This window comes from Homo sapiens, chromosome 7 (assembly GCF_000001405.40).
Source record: "Homo sapiens chromosome 7, GRCh38.p14 Primary Assembly".
Lineage (NCBI taxonomy): Eukaryota > Metazoa > Chordata > Mammalia > Primates > Hominidae > Homo > Homo sapiens.
In genome coordinates this window covers 143,997,631-144,016,349 of record NC_000007.14, presented here as the reverse complement: position 1 = coordinate 144,016,349, position 18,719 = coordinate 143,997,631, and the positions used below count along the sequence as shown (strand labels likewise).

General features: G+C 40.0%; 1 protein-coding gene across 1 annotated transcript; it reads right to left on the bottom strand.

The window, feature by feature from the left end:
- Window positions 1-7,556: 7,556 nt before the first annotated feature.
- On the bottom strand, window positions 7,557-16,030 carry OR6B1 (olfactory receptor family 6 subfamily B member 1). Its single transcript, NM_001005281.3, has 2 exons — window positions 15,700-16,030; window positions 7,557-12,378 (listed from the first exon to the last, which is right to left on the bottom strand). The coding sequence occupies exon 2, from the start codon at window positions 12,351-12,353 to the stop codon at window positions 11,418-11,420; it is 936 nt and encodes a 311-aa protein (NP_001005281.1). The 5' UTR covers window positions 12,354-12,378; window positions 15,700-16,030; the 3' UTR covers window positions 7,557-11,417.
- Between the last annotated feature and the right edge of the window lie 2,689 nt (window positions 16,031-18,719).

Sequence of the window (18,719 nt, the reverse complement as noted above, 5' to 3'; positions counted from 1 at the left end):
ATGTGCAGAACATGCAGGTTTGTTACATAGGTATACATGTGCCATGGTGGTTTGCTGCACCCATCAACCCATCATCTAGGTTTTAGGCCCCGCATGCATTAGGTATTTGTCCTAATGCTCTCCCTCCCCTTGCACCCCCACCCCCTGGCAGGCACAGGTATGTGATGTTCCCCTCCCTGTGTCCATGTGTTCTCAATGTTCAACTTCCATTTATAAGTGAGAGCATGTGGTGTTTGGTTTTCTGTTCCTGTGTTAGTTTGCTGAGAATGATGGTTTCCAGCTTCATCCACATCCCTGCAAAGGACAAGAACTCATTCTTTTTTATGGCTGCATAGTATTCCATGGTATATATGTGCCACATTTTCTTTATCAAGCCTATCATTGATGGGCATTTGGGTTGGTTCCAAGGCTTTGCTATTGTAAATAGTGCTGTAATAAACATATGTTTGCATGTGTCTTTATAGTAGAATGATTTATAATCCTTTCGATATATACCCAGTAATGGGATTGCTGGGTCAATGGTATTTCTAGTTCTAGATCCTTGAGGAATCGCCACACTGTCTTTCACAAGGGTTGAACTAATTTACACTCCCACCAACAGTGTAAAAGTGTTCCTATGTCTCCACATCCTCGCCAGCATCTGTTGTTTCCTGACGTTTTAGTGATCACCATTCTAACTGGCGTGAGATGGTATCTCATTGTGGTTTTGATTTGCATTTCTCTAATGACCAGTGTTGATAAGCTTTTTTTCATATGTCTGTTGGCTCCATAAATGTCTTATTTTGAGAAGTGTCTGTTCATATCATTTGCCCACTTTTTGATGGGGTTTTTTTTTTCTTGTAAATTTGTTTATGTTCCTTGTAGATTCTGGATATTAGCCCTTTGTCAGATGGATAGATTGCAAAAGTTTTCTTCCATTCTGTAGGTTGCCTGTTCACTCTGCTGATAGTTTCTTTTGCTGTGCAGAAGCTCTTTAGTTTAATTGGATCCCATTTGTCTGCTTTGGCTTTTGTTGCAATTGCTTTCAGTGTTTTAGTCATGAAGTCTTTGCCCATGCCTATGTCCTGAATGGTATTGCCTAGGTTTTATGCTAGGGTTTTTATGGTTTTAGGTCTTACATGTAAGCCTTTAATCCATCTTGAGATAATTTTGGTATAAGGTGTAAGAAAGGCATCCAGTTTCACTTTTCTGCATATGGCTAGCCAGTTTTCCCAGCACCATTTATGAAATAGAGAGTCCTTTCCCCATTGCTTGCTTTTTTCAGGTTTGTTGAAGTTCAGATGGTTGTAGATGTGTAGGTGTTATTTATGAGGTCTCTGTTCTGTTCCATTTGTCTGTATATCTGTTTTGGTACCAGTACCATGCTGTTTTGGTTACTGTAGACTTGCAGTATAGTTTGAAGTCAGGTAGTGTGATGCCTCCAGCTTTGTTTTTTTGCTTAGGATTGTCTTGGCTATACAGGCTCTTTTTTGGTTCCATATGAAATTTAAAGCAGTTTTTTCTAATTCTGTGAAAAAAGTCAATGGTAGCTTGATGAGAATAGCTTTGAATCTATAAATTACTTTGGGCAGTATGGCCATTTTCACAATATTGATTCTTCCTATCCATGAGCATGGAATTTTTTTCCATTTGGAAAAAAACTTTTCATTTGATTTTTTTAACTTTTATTTTAAGTTCAGGAATACAAATTCAGGTTTGTTACATAGGTAAACTTGTGTTATGGAGGTTTGTTGTGGAGATTATTTCATCACCCACGTATTAAGCCTGGTACCCATTAGTTGTTTTTCCTGATCCTCTTCCTTCTCCCACCCTCCACCCTCTGATAGGCCCCAGTGTGTGTTATTCCCCTCTATGCATTCATGTGTTCTTATCATTTAACTCCCACTTATAAATGAGAACATGTGGTAGTTGGTTTTCTGTTCTTGTGTTACCTTGCTAAGGATAATGGCCTCCAGCTCCATCTATGTTCCCACAAAGGACATGATCTCATTCTTTCTATGGCTAAATAGTATTCCATGGTGTATATATACAACATTTTCTTTATCCAGCCTATCATTGATGGGCATTTAGATTGATTGCCTGTCTTTGCTATTGCGAATAGTGCTGCACTGAACATATGCATGCATGTCTCTTTATAATAGAATGTTTCCACTTAATTTAGAAGTTTTAATCATTTAAAACTACCTTCTCAACTGCTCATACAGTGCTGATGGGAGTGTAAATTGGTACAGCCCACTTTGAAAAACTATTTCACAATATGTTATCAGGCTGGGCATATTCATATCCTGTGATTTAGCATTCCAGTCTTAGTTATATGCCCAACAGAAATACATCTATAGGTTCAGCAAAGATATGTACTAGAATATCCATGCAATGCTATTCCTGATGGTCCCAAACTGGACACTATACAAAAAGAGTGAGAAGGATAAATAAATTATAGTATTTTCTCTTTTTTAAAATTTTATTTTAAGTTTTGGGATACATGTGCAGAGCATGCAGGTTTGTTACGTAGGTAGATGTGTTACATGGTGGTTTGCTGCACCTATCAACCCATCACCTAGGTATTAAGCCCCACATGCCTTAGCTATTTATCCTGATGCTCTCCCTTCCCCTCCCCATCCCCGACAGGCCCTGGTGTGTGATGTTCCCCTCCCTGTGCCCATGTATTCTCCTTGTTCAACTCCCACTTATGAGTGAGAACATGCAGTGTTTGGTTTTCTGTTCCTGTGTTAGTTTGGTAAGGATGATGGCTTCCAGCTTCATCCACGTCCCTGCAAAGGATATGATCTCACTTATTTTTATGGCTGCATAGTATTCCGTAATGCATATTTACCACATTTTCTTTATCCAGTCTATCATTGATGGACATTTGGGTTGATTCCATGTCTTTGCTATTGCGAATAGTGCTGCAACGAACATAAGTGTGCATGCATGTATCTTTATAAAGAAATTATTTATATTCCTTTAGGTATATACCCAGTGATGGGATTGCTGGGTCAAATAGTATTTCTGGTTCTAGATCCTTGAGGAATCACCACAATATCTTCCACAATGGTTGCACTAATTTACATTCCCACCAACAATGTAAAAGCATTCCTATTTGTCCACAGCCTCACGAGCATCTGCTGTTTCTTGACTTTTCAATAATCACCATTCTGACTAATAATAGTATTTTCACACAGTGAAATACTATACTATGATAAGAATGTGTTATCTACAACTACATGGAACAACAGGAAAGATCTCAGAAACATAAAATTGAGTGAAAGAAGCTATACACAGAGAATTGCATATTGTCTAATTCATTTTTTTAACTAAAATATCTGGCAAAATCCACCTCTGCTGTTTGAAGTAGGACAAAAGTTACTCTTAGAATTATGACTGGAAATGCACATGGGGGTGTAGTTTCTGGTGATTCTTTTTCTTCTGATGCAGGTGCTGGTTCCATGGGCTGTGTTCAATTTGTGAAAATGCTTTGAGCTGTAGACTTAGGATATTAGTATTTTTGCTTAAATGAAAACTTCTAAAAAAATTTAAATGATCCTATCTTTTGTGCTTCCTCAGGTTTACTGTCTCTTTCCATCAGTGTTATAGAGGTACTGTTTTTCATATTTGTAGTTGCCTCTTATAAAAATTCATAGTGACATGTATAAAATGAGTTGCATCTGTTAACAGCTATAAAAAAGCAGTGGAAAAATAGTTTGGAAAAGGTCGTTTTTAAAATTTATTTTTGTTTCAGGGAAAAAGCTGTGACAGACTACAAATAGGCCACAATTCTTTTCAGGTGTTTTCATCAAAAAGTGGAGTCTATTGCTCTACCTCTTGAATATGGGCTTGCTTGGGCCAATAGAATGTGAATGCTGAGTATAGATCTTAAGAGGTTTGTCAAGCTTCTCCTCTCTTAGAGCACTTTGATCTCCATATGACAAGGTCAGGACAGCCTGCTGGAGGATAAGAGACCAGGTGGAGGGAAGACCTCACAGGCATGTTCCCAGTGACCTGCTAGTTGACTGCAGGCAGATGAGCAAGCCCAGACATAATCAGTAGACCTGCCCAGCAAATCTACAGACTTCAAACTACAGACTTAAACTTAATAATTTTAAGCTGCTAAGTTTTGGGGTGGTTTGTTTGCAGCAAAATCTAACTAATGAGAGCTCTTTGCAAAGTGTGCTCTGAATATTTTATCAAGCTGGTCCACATGGACATGAATATACATGCTGCATTGTCTCCATCTTCAAAATACATCTAAAATCAGACCATTTCACCCCATTTCCACAACTACTGTTCATCATATCCACCGCTGTGTGTCACCATGATACCATAATGGACTCATAAATATTCTTTCTTCTCCTGCCCTTGCCTTATGCAAGCCTGTTCTTCACCAAAAGCTAGGGTGATCCTTTTAAAGCAAAAAGATCATATCACCCCACTGCTCTAAACCTACCAATGGTTTCCCATCTCATTCAGAGTAAAACCCAATATTTTCTCACAGTGGCTACAGGTTCAACAGTGTCTGGCCTATTCTTGTCTCTCTTATCTTATCTCCTACCCTGCTGTATTAGTCTGTTTTTACACTGCTATAAAGAACTACCTGACACTGGGTAATTCATTTTAAAAAGGCTTAATTGACTCAGTTCCACATGCCTGGGAAGGCCTCAGGAAACTTACCATCGCGGCAAAAAGGTGAAGAAGAAGCAAGGCACGTCTTACATGGCAGCAGGAGAAAGAGAAAGTGAGGAAGGAACTGCCAAACACTTTTAAAACCATCAGATCTTGTGAAAACTCACTCACTATTATAAGAACAGCATGGAGGAAGCTGCTTCCATGATCCAATCACCTCTCACCAGGTCCCTCCCTCGACAAAATGGGGATTACAATCAAGATGAGATTTTGGTGCAGACACAGAGTGAAACCATATTATTACACCCCTGGAGTCTCCCAAATTTCATGTCCTTTTCACATTTCAAAACACAAGTATGCCTTCCCAACAGTACCCCAAAGTCTTAACTCACTCCAGCATTAACTCAAAAGTCCAAGTCCAAAGTCTCATCTGAGACAAGGCAAGTCCCTTCTGCCAATAAGTCTGTAAAATCAACAACAAGTTAGTTATGTCCAAGATACAATGGGAGTACAGGCATTTGGCAAATGCCCCCATTCCCAATGGGAAAAATTGGCCAAAGCAAAGGGCTATAGGCCCCATGCAAGTCTGAATCCTGGCAGGCCACCCATTAAATCTTAAGGCTCCAAAATGATCTCCTTTGACTCTGTGTCTCATGTCCAGGGCATGCTTATGCAACAGGTGGTCTCCCAAGGCCTTGGGCAGCTCTACCCCAGTGGCTCTGCAGGGTACAGCCCTTGTGGCTGCTTTCATGTGTTGCAGGAAGTCAGGGACCCTGAACGGAGGGACCAGCTGGAGCTGTGGCAGAGGAACATAAATTGTGAAGATTTCATGGGCATTTATCAGTTCCCAAATAACACTCTCATAATTTCTTATGCCTGTCTTACTTTAATCTCTTAATCCTATTATCTTTGTAGCTGAGGATGTACATCACCTCAGAACCACTATTGTACAAATTGATTGTAAAACATGTGTGTTTGAACAATAAGAAATCAGTGCACCTTGGAAAAGAAGAGAATAACAGCGGTTTTCAGGGAGCAAGGGAAGACAATCATAAGGTCTGTCTGCTTGCGGGGTCGGGAAAAATAGGGCCATATTTTTCTTCTTGCAGAGAGCCAATAAACAGACGTGCAAGTAGGGAAGATATCGCTAAATTCTTTTCCTAGCAAGGAATATTAATAATTAATACCTTGGGGAAGGAATGCATTCCTGGGGGGAGGTCTACAAATGGCCCCTCTGCGAGTGTCTGTCTTATGTGGTTGAGATAAGGACTGAAATATGCCCTGATGTACTGCAGTACCCTCAGGCTTATTAGGGTGGGGAAAAAACTCTGCCCTGGTAAATTTCTGGTCAGACCAAACTACTCTTGAACCCTGCTTTCTGTTGTTTAAGATGTTTATCAAGACAACATGTGCACTGCTAAATATAGACCCTTATCAGGAGTTCTGCTTTTGCCCTTGTCCTGTTTCCTCAGAAGTGTGTGATCTTTGTTCTCCTTTTTGCCCTTTGAAGCATGTGATCTTTGTGACCTACTCCCTGTTCTTACACCACCTCCCCTTTTGAAATCCTTAATAAAACTTGCTGGTTTTGCAGCTCAGGTGGGCATCACAGTCCTACTGATATATGATGTCACCCCTGGAGGCCCAGCTGTAAAATTCCTCTCTTTGTACTCTTTCTCTTTATTTCTCAGATGGCTGACACTTATGGAAAATAGAAAGAACCTACGTTGAAATATTGGGGGAGGGTTCCCCCAATAGTCATGGGCTGGCATTGAGTGCTGTGGCTTTTCCAGGTGCACAGTGCAAACTGTGGAGCTACTATTCTGGGGGCTGGAGGATGATGGCCCTTTTCTTACAGCTCCACTCCACATTTTCTCTCTGCATTTGCCCTAGTAGAGGTTCTCCATGAGGGTTCCACCTTTACAGCAGACTTTTGCCTGGACATCCAGGCACTTTCATACATCCTCTTAAATCTAGACAGAGGCTCCCAAAGTTCAAATCTTGTCTTCTGCACACCCGCAGGCCCAACACCATGTGGAAACCAGTAAGGCTTAGGCTTACATCCTCTGAAGCAATAGCCTGAACCATAGGTTGGCCCCATTTAGCCATGGCTGGAGTGACTGGGACACAGGGCTCCATGTCCTAAGGCTGCACAGAGTAGTTGGGCCCTGGACCCGGCCCAGGAAACCATTTATCCCTCCTAAGCCTCTGGGCCTGTGATGGGAGGGGCAACTGTGAAAATTTCTGAGATGCCCTGGAGACATTTTTCCCACTGTTTTTGTGATTAAAATTCATCTCCCTGTTACTTATGCAAATTTCTGCAGCAGGCTTATATTTCTCCCCAGAAAATGCCTGTTTCTTTCCTACCATATAGTCAGGCTGCAAATTTTCCAAACTTTTATCCTCTGCTTCTCTTTTGTATGTAAGTTCAGATTTCAGATCATCACTTTATGAAAGCATATGACTATATGCTTTCAGAAAAAGCCAGGTTGCATCTTGAATGCTTTGCTGCTTAGAAATTTCTTCTGCCAGGTACCAGAAAATTATCTCTCCCAAGTTTAAAGTTCCACAGGTCTCTAGAGCAGGGGCAAAATGCTGCCAATCTCTTTGCTAAAGCATAGGAAGAGTGACCTTTGCTCTAGTTCCCAAGAAATTCCTTATCTCCACCTGAGACCACCTCAGCCTGGACTTCATTGTCTGTATCACTATCAGCATTTTGGTCAAAACCATTCAACAAGTCTCTAGAAAGTTCCAAACTTTTCCACATCTTCCTGTGTTTTTCTGAGCCCTCCAAGCTGTTCCAACCTCTGCCCATTACCCAGTTCCAAAGTTGCTTCCACATTTTTAGGTATCTTTATAGCAGTGCCCCACTCCTGGTATGAATTTTCTGTATTAGTTCATTTTCACACAACTATAAAGAACTACCCAAGACTGGGTAATTTACTTTAAAAACGTTTAATTGACTTACAGTTCCACATGGTTGGGGAGGCCTCAGGAAACTTACAATCATGGCAGGAGGCGAAGGGGAAGGAAGGCACATCTAACATGGCGGCAAGAGAGAGAGAGAGAAAGTGGGAGGGGAACTGCCAAACACTTTTAAAACCATCGGATCTTGTGAGAACTCACTCACTATCATGAGAACAGCATGGGGGAACCACCCCCATGATGCAATCACTTCCCACCAGGTTCCCCTTTTGATATGTGGGGATTACAATCAAGATGAGATTTGGGTAGGGAAACAGAGCCAGACCATATCACCTGCTTACCCTTTTCTCACTGCTCTGGCTGCTCAGTCTCTTCAATGTCCCTCAAACATACTACACAAGACTCCATATCTTCCCTTGCTGTTTCTCTACCTGGAATGTTCTTTGCCAAAGTAGCCATATATCTTACTCTCACAGCTTCTCCAGGTTTTTGCTCAAACATTTCTTCCTCACTTGGTGATTCTGTGACCATCTTATTTAAAATTTCTCATCTCCAGCAGCACTTCCTATTATACTTTCATGCTTTCTTCCTCCCCATCCATAGCACTTATTGCCACCCAAATTGGGATGTGTATTTATTTCCCAGGGTTTTTATAACAAATTACCACAAACTTGGTAGCTTAAAACAACAGAAATATATTGTCTTATAGTTCTGGAGGCCAGGAGTCCAAAATCAAGCTGTCATCAGGGCTCTCTTCCTTTGACAGCTCTAGGGGGGGAGAATCATTACTTATATCTTCCAGCTTCTGGTGGCCCAAGGTATTTCTTGGCTTGTGGATGCAGAACTCCAATCTCTATCTCTACCTTCACATCACCTTCTCTGTTTTCTCTTCTCTCTCATATAAGGAACTTGTCATTGGACATTGAGTCCACTCGGATAATCCAGAATGGTCTCAGTTTGAGGTCCTTAACTTTATTATATTTCAAAGACTCTTTTTTTTTCAAATAAGTTCCCAATCACAAGTTCCAGGTTGAAAGTGTGAAAATATATTTTTGGGAGCCACCATTCAACCCATTACAATATGTATGTATGTTAGATATATATATGTATACACACACACACACACACACACAAAGGTATTATCTGCTATCTGTTTCTGCTCACAAAGGTAACAAGTTTTAATATTTTGCTATTGTATCCCTACACGTACATAATAGATCTTTAATATATATTAGTTAAATGAATGAATAAATATAGTGATTTAAAATATATACTGCATGTGTAATTAATATATATTTATATTTTATTTTGTGGGGTTCCTTATGAGTTTGGATGGTGATAATCAAATCTTCAGGGCATGTTCTCTGGATAAACTACTGAAACTGACTACCAGCCTTTTATGATGGTTACCCCAACAAGATCACCAAATGCCCTGAAACTTCCGGCTTGCTTTGTGTGTCACCTTAGAAATAGCTTGTTTCTATGTGAATTTAACCAGTAATCCACTATACATTATTTTCTCTGTTGAGGCAGATTTCTACATTGGTCTGTGTCCTTACTTTGCTGAGCCTGTGCACTTAGGTATTCCTTCCACAAAGGGGAAGGAGCTCAATGTTCCATCTGTTATTTGAAAAAAAAATTTAATAGAATTCCCCAAGAAACCCTACTTCTACATTCTCCCTTTCCAAGATATTCATGAGAAATAATAAAGAAATAAACTGCCTCTGATAGTTGTAGCCTCCCAGGTTAACTATAACTATAGTATGTGGAGTCAACTAGGTGTGGAATTGTTTTAGACAGGTCCAGAGAGCATAGCCTTCCCAAACAGTTTTCCCATGCAAACCCTAATCTAGTGGCAGCTTGCTTAGATCATGCACTGCCCAAGATATTTAACAATCAATGTCTTTTCCATCATGGTAGTTGATCCTCATAACCATTGCGTAAGAAACACCAAGCAACTATTATTACTCCTGTTTTACACATAAAGACTCAGTGTTTCCAAAAGTATAGATGGTTTGGCCAAGGTCACATGGTGAATATATATCCAGGGCTAAAATTCAAGTTATTGCCAGAGTTTTTTTATCTTTCATTTCCTAATCCCTACTGAACATGTCTTTTCCTTTCTTAATGCACACATTTAATATCCCTATATGACTATGCAATTATATTTTGATTCATTTGAAGTTTTCAGAAAATAATCTCTTTTTTGTGTGTCTAGATTTTAAATAGAAATATATTCATCACAACTTACTTGTTGCATCAAGGGACCAAACTACATTCCAGAAGCAAACATTAAATCCTTTCCATTTTAAGCATTGTTCTCTTTTGCACATTTATTCCCTAAAGCAAGTTGTGCTTGCATTTTATTTTTGTTTCTTTTTTCCTCTGGGACCTATAATTCACATGTTTTCATTTTTATTTTATTACTGTTCTGCAGGTATAGTAATTCATAATTCCAACTATATTCCTTTACAACTAGCTTTCATACTTGGCTTCTAAAGAAGTATGTTTTCTCTCTAGGGAGAGCCCATTCACTAGAGAAAGACCCAGGGTTTGGATTCAGGGAACTGGGACTTTGACCTCTGCTCTCCCACTGTCTGTGGTTGTATGTTATTTACTTCCTTGAACATCTGTTCTGGAAGTTTATAAAATGGAACAAATAATTCTGCCTCACGTTTCTTAATTAAGAAGAAAGAGAAAGCATTCTTGAAAGTGTGGTTTGTTCTTAGCTAAAAGATGTTATTAATGCAAGAAACTCTCCTGTTTAAAACTGTTACAATAAAAGAATTAAATTCCCACTGATGTTGGCCCACTATGTTGAATACAGCTTAAAAATATATCTCCCTTTGCCAATGGCAAAACTATGAACCAAGAGCAAGCATATCTATGTACCTTCTATGGGTGTAAAGCACATTTGATCAATGAGGTTCTAGCGTGTGTGTAGAGGGTGTTAGATATATAGGTAAGGAAAGTTGAGAATCACTATGGCATGGAATGAAAATCTCTGTCAATTCCTGAAACCTGTTACTTATCTCTGAGTTGAGTGTGGAGAAAGTGGAAAACCAAGAGAAGATAAAAGAGAGGGCGGGAAGGGGGGTGCGGGGCGGGAACAAGAGGATATCAAGATCAAAAGAAAAGAGAAGTAATGAGGGCAATTATTGTTTGGCAATTCATATATTTGATGATATTTATTTATCATCTATTTTATGTTCATCCACTAAAGGATACATTGTGGCACCTAGAAGGGAAATATAAAATTCAATAAAAGGCAACTGTGTGAGTTATATCAGAAGACAAAACACAATTGTGTAAGGTACAATTCACTTACAGATAAAAGAAAGCACTCTAACTAGTTTAAGCAGAAAGGGATTTAATACAGGTTAGTAAGTGCTTGCAAAAAGTGTTGCAAAAACTCAGGAAGCAGTCTCTGCCACCAAAATTCACTCCCAGAACATCAAGAATGAGACTGTTGAGGGAGTTGCTACCTCTGTCTTAGAAAGATGGGAAATCAGGAAGCTACCACCTATTTTGTTGGCCCCAGAGCTATTAGTGTATGGCAGATCCAAAAACAGCTAACTCACCCATCACCATCTCTCTTCCTACTTAACTCAGTTATAAATTTACTCACAGTCTTAGAAACCCCATTTGGGGTCACAACCATTGAGAACTGTTTTCTCTAGCTCTCTAGAAGGTGTATGGCCTTAGAGCACTGACCATATGCACAGATGCAGATACCCAAGCGCCTGAGATTGAAGTAGACATGGTGATGTCATATTAACATGGGCAGTGTCCTAACTGAGTCGTTAAAGGAGAAAGGATGGAGGAAGACATACAGGCACCCACTCAGACCTTTCTTTCTAATCAGCTGTAATTGACTAGTCAGATCTGCTGGCCTGGCAATATGCCAGTTTCTTCAGAGCTTCCTTGACCTCTCGGTTTCTTAGGCAATAAATGAAAGGGTTGAGAGAAGGAGTGACAATGGCATAGAAGATGGAAATAATTTTGTTCATGTTGAAGGCATGGATAACTCGAGGTCGAGCATACATGAAAATAATGGCTGAATAGAAAATGGTGACCACCACAAGATGGGAGGCACAAGTGGAGAACGCTTTCTGCTTTCCTGTGGGCATGCATAATATGGTGGCCAGAATGCATCCGTAGGACAGGACAGTAATAAAGAGTGGGAATAGGAAGATGACCAGTGCCAGGATAAAGTCTACCAACTCAGTTATGGACATGTCTGTGCAGGAGAGATTAAGTACTGGAGAGATGTCACAGAAGAAGTGGTTGATGACATTGGGACCACAGAAGCTGAGGCAGGAGATGAAGTAGATCTTCGCCAGGGAGATGCCAAAGCCAATGGCCCAGGAACCAAGAGCGAGGCGGAAGCAGAGCCCATGGCTCATTATGGTTGGGTAGTGGAGTGGGCGACAGATGGCCACATACCGGTCATAGGCCATGGCGGCCAGAAGCACACATTCTGTGCACATGAGAGCAATGAAGAAGTACAGTTGTATCATACAGAGTGTGAAAGAGATGCTGTTGTTCACAGACCAAAAACTAAACAGTAACTTGGGCACAGTCACAGAGATGTACCAGGTCTCCAAGAAGGACAGGTTGGCCAGGAAGAAGTACATAGGCTTGTGCAGTGGCCGATTTTGCAGCACCAATAGGATGATGATCACGTTTTCAGCCACTGTCAGAATATAGGCCACAAGGAATATCAGAAACATGGCTGCCCGCATACTCAAGCTCCCAGGGAATCCCACCAGAATGAACTTGGTGACTCGTGTCTGGTTCTCCAACTCCATATTGGAGACACAGGGCTTAGCTCTCCTGGGGAGGAAAAATCATTTGATCAGACTCCATGGCCCAGCTATATTTTTCCATACTTGTCTTCTCTATCAGTAATAGTTATCATTTATTAATACATATTACAGGTCAGACCATGAACTGGGTACGTGAGGCACACAACGTAATTTAATTTCCACATAGCCGTGTGTGTGTGTGTGTGTGTGTGTGTGTGTGTGTGTGATTGTATCTGTTTTAAAGATGAAGAAATCGTGTCTTGGAGAGGAATTAAGTAACTGACCACGTTGTCACTGGTAGCAGGGCAGGAATCACATTCAAGTCTCAGTCTAAAGCCCACGCTCCTTCTAATATCTTGCACCATCTGACACCTAACAATTGCCAATTCCAAAAGATACACCTGACCTTCCTGTCTCTCCACCTACCCAGAGCTCTGGAAGTTCTTCCTTACAACTCCTTTATCCTTCACATGCTATTATTTTCATCTACCATCCCTGGAGATAGAGAGTAGCTGTCATCACCTATGAGGTACATGAGAAAGTGAGTAGCAGAGATTTGGGCTTTTCAGTATTAAAGACCTCCTGGACCTCATTCAAGTCTAAGGTCTGCCACCGATTTGCTATGACCTTGAAATCTTACCCTCTCTGAGATTGAGTTTTCTCTTCCGTCAATGTGAATATTAATATTTATTCAGCTTATTTCATTGAGGATCAAAATCCAAATGAGTTAATGTAAATGAAATTTTATATAAACTAATGGCAATAATCGTGAAAGGGGATTTTCCCCCATATTAGAGCAGTGATGAAGGTAGGAATACACTAACTGGAGGGAGGGGAGGATCTGCTGTGATCCAAGGCAAAGCCATGAGCAAAGTAAACATGGGCTCATTCAGGGAATTTGACATTCTTGAGAGTGAAAATGGGGATCACTGAGTGAAGATTTTTAAAGACAAGCAAACAAAGATAGAGATGCATTATAAAATTTGAAATATTTTCTATGAAGGTTAACAGACACAACATAATACTAAGGTAATCAGGAAAGGTCCCTCTGACCTTTGAGGAGGTAATATTAAGGCTGGGAAGGATTCTAGGACCCCAGCTCTTTGAAGGGCTGAGGTTGTAGGGAGCTGTGCTGAAGGAGATATGATTGCCATGCTGTGATGGATGGGAAAGGAGCCAAGGAAGAAGGCAGGAAGCCAGGGCCAGAAGGTGCAGGACCCCAGAGGTTATAACAATCAGGGATCTGAACAGTGGTCTAAAAGCAGTCGGAAACAAGCAAAAGATTAAAGGTGAATGGGACATGATATGATTTACGCAATGGAAAGATAACTCTGTCGTTGCAAAACGGACTCCTTGGAGGCAAGAGCATGAGCTGTGAGCTATGAAACTAGTTGGAGGCTACTCAGAATAGGTGACAGTGAACTTAAATACTGTGGTTCCAGAGAAGCAGATTTAAGATACACGTTAGAAGCAGAATCTTTAACAGTAATTGGTGACTTGGATATGGAAGGTGAGAGAAAGAAAGAAATCACGGAGGAACCCCAAATATAGAGCTTATTACCTAGAGGTGATGCCATTTACTAAGGTAGTTAGATGGCATCATTTACTAACTATCTTACTATCTTTACTAACTGTCTTACTATCAGTTCAGAAAATCTTCTAATAATAATTTATTGAGTATTTAATAGGTGCTGGGAAGTTCTTTTCATGCAATATCCCATTTAATCCACAAAATAATGTTAATTAGACATTGCTATTCTAATTTCAAAGAAGACACTGTGGTTTAGATAGATTAAATAATATTTCCAAGTTAGACAGTGATAAAATCAGAATCATAAAGCCCAGGTCCGACTACAAAGGCATGTCCTTAACCACTAGAGTGAAACACACTGATGAAGAATATCACATTTTGGACTTACCAATGTATTTTACATTTAAAATTCCTGACTATTTTAGGAAGTGTTCTTTAATCCTGCTGAAATTTTATTATAAGCTGAGACTATTAGAGATGAACCCAAATGTTAAAAAGAAAGCAACATGATACAAGTACATATTCAATCAGACACACATAACAGAAATGAATGTATAGAAATGCTTGGTAAATGTATCTGAGAATAATGATTGGATATGTTTTGAAATATAAATTAGGAGGAGGAAAAGGCATTTTTGGCAGATGAATCAGAGTGAACAAAGGCACGGAGATCTGAAACAGTTTGAAATTTTCAGGAACTCAACTCATAATTGCTGCGTGAGTGGGCAAGTTGTGAGTGAGTGAATGAGCAGAAAAGAGATGGATGGAAAGAGAAAGAGAGAGACTCTGTTGTCACGGACCAGATCATGGAATAGTGAGGCATTTAAGAATTATCCTGAAGTATAGACAATAAGTAATCACTGTTTGTCAGCAGGATGACAACATCCTCTTATTATATTCTTGTTTTTGATGTGGGAGGATGGGTTAGGATGGGACAAGGTTGCCAAACCAGAGATTCATAGACCCGTTAGAAAGCACCCTCATAGCATACACTTAAAGATACACACAAAGAAGAGAAAAATCATTCTAGCTTATAACATTTGTCAAAGAAACAAAGATGGACATATTTAGCTATACTTGTTCACAAGTTACATAAGTTTTCACTTCTAGAGGAAGCTCTACAAGAAAAACAAAGAATTCCTTATTTCTCATTAACTGAATGAAGGTGCACTGGCACTAATTATTGCATACTGGTATTTTTATGTATCACCTTACTGCAAAATATGTACAGCCTTTTTACTTATAATAGTTTTTACTCCATTAAGCATACTCAAACATGTTACCCCTCATAGCAGATTTACCACTGGTCTAGAATCAAACATCTTTGTTTCTTATGTCTGCTGCTATGCACTTTTCCCCAACTTTGTCAGGGTTCTATACATACGTAGGTTCCAAGTAATTTGAATTTGATGAACATTTAACCTCCGCCCCTGCCAAGATAGCAGCAGTTTTTGTAGCCACCACCAGAAACAAGTTGCCAGGAAGATGTGGTGGTTGCAGCACAGGGATATCAGGTCATCGGGTCAATGGTAGGGATCTAAAGTTTGGGATCATAATCTGGGGCACTAATTTTTGATCCCACACAGAGAGATGTCTCCAAAGTGGCAAGAGGAGCCTGCTCCCTCAGCTCACTGCATAACTGGCTGCACTTAGATTTCAGGAGACAAGAATATTATCCGGACCGATTGCTAGGAATTGAGAGTGGATAGAACAGAGAGGCATTAAACATTTTAGAGTTTAAATGTTGCTGCGCTGTAGGAGCCTGAAACAGGGCTGCCTGCATAGTGAGAAAGTAATGCTCTGAGAGGGAGCACTTACCTTGGCACAGCAGCCTCTGATAGGATGAAATGTGAAAACAAAGCCTTCACCAATTCTAAAATAGGAAGATGCAGAAGAAAAAGATTCAGGTATTGAATAGATGTGAGGAACCCACTTTCTAAACCTAGAAAGAGTGACTGGGTACAGATTGCCCCACTGCTTTCAAGCTGAAAGCCAGGATAAGATGACAGGAGAGCCCTAGGCACTAGGACCACATCTGCATCTGATGTGGCACGAGGCTGCTTCGTCCAGCACCCTGGGACTAGGGTGCCCATCACCTTCCTGGTGAACATGGCAGTGATTTTAGGCACACTGAGCTGTGAAGACCTTTGGATTCTGAGGGCTTTATAGAGTACCAAGACTTTCCCTACATATCTGCCAAGACCCAAGAGAAAAGAACCTTGACAATGGCAGTTCAGTTCTCTTGTGGGATCCAAGAGAAATTTCCATTTGCCCATTGTGGTGATCTTAATTGTTTTATATGTTATTAGTTCCATAGGAAAAAAAGGTCCACTTATGACCACGCACTTTGGAAAGAACCATATTTTTTGACAGATGAAGAGAAAAATGTACTGCAGTGAAATCTCTATATACAGACTTTCGAATATTCTTCCATCTTTGGCTTACTTGAAACAGGATGATCATGCAAGTGCTCCAAATGTGATATTGATGCCCAAAGGAGACTGATATTAGTACATTTTAGTACAAGTTTAAATGACAGTTTTTGTTTTAGATACTTATGTCAACTTGTTCACTAAGTAAATTTATCCTGATGGAATTATTGTCACTTTGTCAGCTGCCCATGGGTACCATTTGACCAATAGTTCACATTCTGGTACAAAGCTCTAGTGTACTAAAAATCACTTCTTCTGTAGCCGGCAGAACTCTTAAGTTGCCCTCTCACAAAGAAAAGCTATCAGATTCACTGTGATTTGATGCAATGGTAGATGAATATATTAAAAGTTATAAACAGTTCAGTGTGGAGAGCCACACATGTTTATGGTAATTAAGCAAGCAGCCTTCAGTACAATTTCTCTTACAGGACTGAAGTATGAAAACCAAGTAGTAGCAAATAAAAGTAAGGCATCTCTTTCAAGTCTCTGGCCTTGATTTATCTCCAAGTCTCAGAAAAACTGACTTCTCTAAAATGTATTATTTTATATTAACCACAATTTTTCAACATGGTTTTAAGCTGCTGTGATATGGTTGTCACTGAGGGGGACCACATTTCTCCTCCAAAGATAGAAAATGTCCATCTACTGTGAGAAGATTCTGTGAGTTACTGTGACAATCATTTTTGACTCCTGGAGTCAACATTTTATACAAGCAATTCTAGAATGGAGATATTTAGCAGATAAACATTGGCTGTATTCTGGGACATGTTGACACGATCTTATCCTAGAATTCAGCTGTACAGGCTTTCCTTGGAGTTTTTTTTTTTTCCTATACCAATTGGTTTCAGGTTGAAGTCTTCTGCAGATTCCTGTTCAATACATACGGGAGGCAATAGGGAAACTCCAAGAACCTGTGTGTTGTGCCTGAGGTCCCTTGGCTATCTGCCTTCTTCTTTCGGAGTCCACGTATATTTGTTGTTATGTCCACTTTTTTTGTTGTTGTTTGTTTTTATTATAAGGAGCATTTTATTCTTTATTATTGTTCTCTGTTGGGGTTGACACTAGTTCTGTTTGGGGCACACCTCCACACTTTGGCCATTACAACTCGGTTTTAGCTGTCAATTGTTATTGGGCAGACCCTGAAGGTCATTCAGAGGTGAAATCTTAGGGCCTTCTCAGGCCTTTTCTGAGCATGCATTCTGCTCTGGATATACACCTGGCTTTCTTTGTTTTCTGGCATACACCTGAGTTATAAAAAAATCCCTTATTTTCCAATGTACCTTCTTCCCCAACCTATTTTCTTCCCAATCTTTTCTGTCTGTTGCTTGTTACCACTTTTATCCCTAGACCAAGACTGCTGCAACCAATGCTTTTGCTTTTAACTGCATTCAGCAAATGGTACCTAGGAAGCTACCCCAGCCCTGGGAAAACTTCCATTCAAGAAACACAAAGGTAAGCCCTTTAGTTGGCTTCCAAATGGTTAGAAAATTGTAACCAGTTTTCTTTGAGAATAAGGTTCATATTGCTCTTTCTCACGCACATTGTTAAATCTGTGCCAGAAGTGTGGGTTGTTATCTTCACAGCTGACACCAATCTGGGAAGTGAGCGAGGATAGGTGGGTAGTTTAAATGCCCAAAACTCTGTTACTGCAATGTGGCAGCTTCTGTTTTCATTAATCTTCCATTGTTTGTTTTAAACTTTTGGCTAGAATCCATAGTTAAACAAAAGCTAATTCTGACAGTTTTTGCCATCTTATTAGTTGTTTTTTGTTTTTTGTTTTGTTTTGTTTAAGACAGAGTCTTGTTCTGTTGCCCAGGCTGGAGTGCAGTGGTGCAATCTCCACTCACTGCAAACTCCGCCTCCCAGGTTCAAGTGATTCTCCTGCCTCAGCCTCCTGAGTAGCTGGGATTACAGGCACCGCACCACCATGGTGGCTACTTTTTGTATTTTTAGTAGAGACAGAGTTTCACCATGTTGGTCAGGCTGGACTCTAACTCCTGACCTCATGATCCACCTGCCTCGGCCTCGCAAAGTCCTGGGATTACAGGCATGAGCCACCATGCCCGGCCTTGTTAGTTGTTTTTATGGAGCTATGAAGAAATGGAATTCCTTACTTCATTTTTTTAATGGTGTGTTTTTTATACTTATATGTATATGTGTGTGTGTGTGTATATATTTACTTTATATATTGTCTTTGCCACTTGCAACCTTGCCAAACTCCTTTATGTCTACAAGCTTTATCGTAGAGTCTTTATGTTTTATGTATATAATAACATTGCCTGAAGTTTAAAATTGTTTTATTTTGTTTCTTTCTCATTTGTATCCCTATTATTTATTTTTTCCTGACCTTATGATTTTGGCTAGGACTCTCAGTTGAAGAGAAATGATGAGTATAAACATACAGGT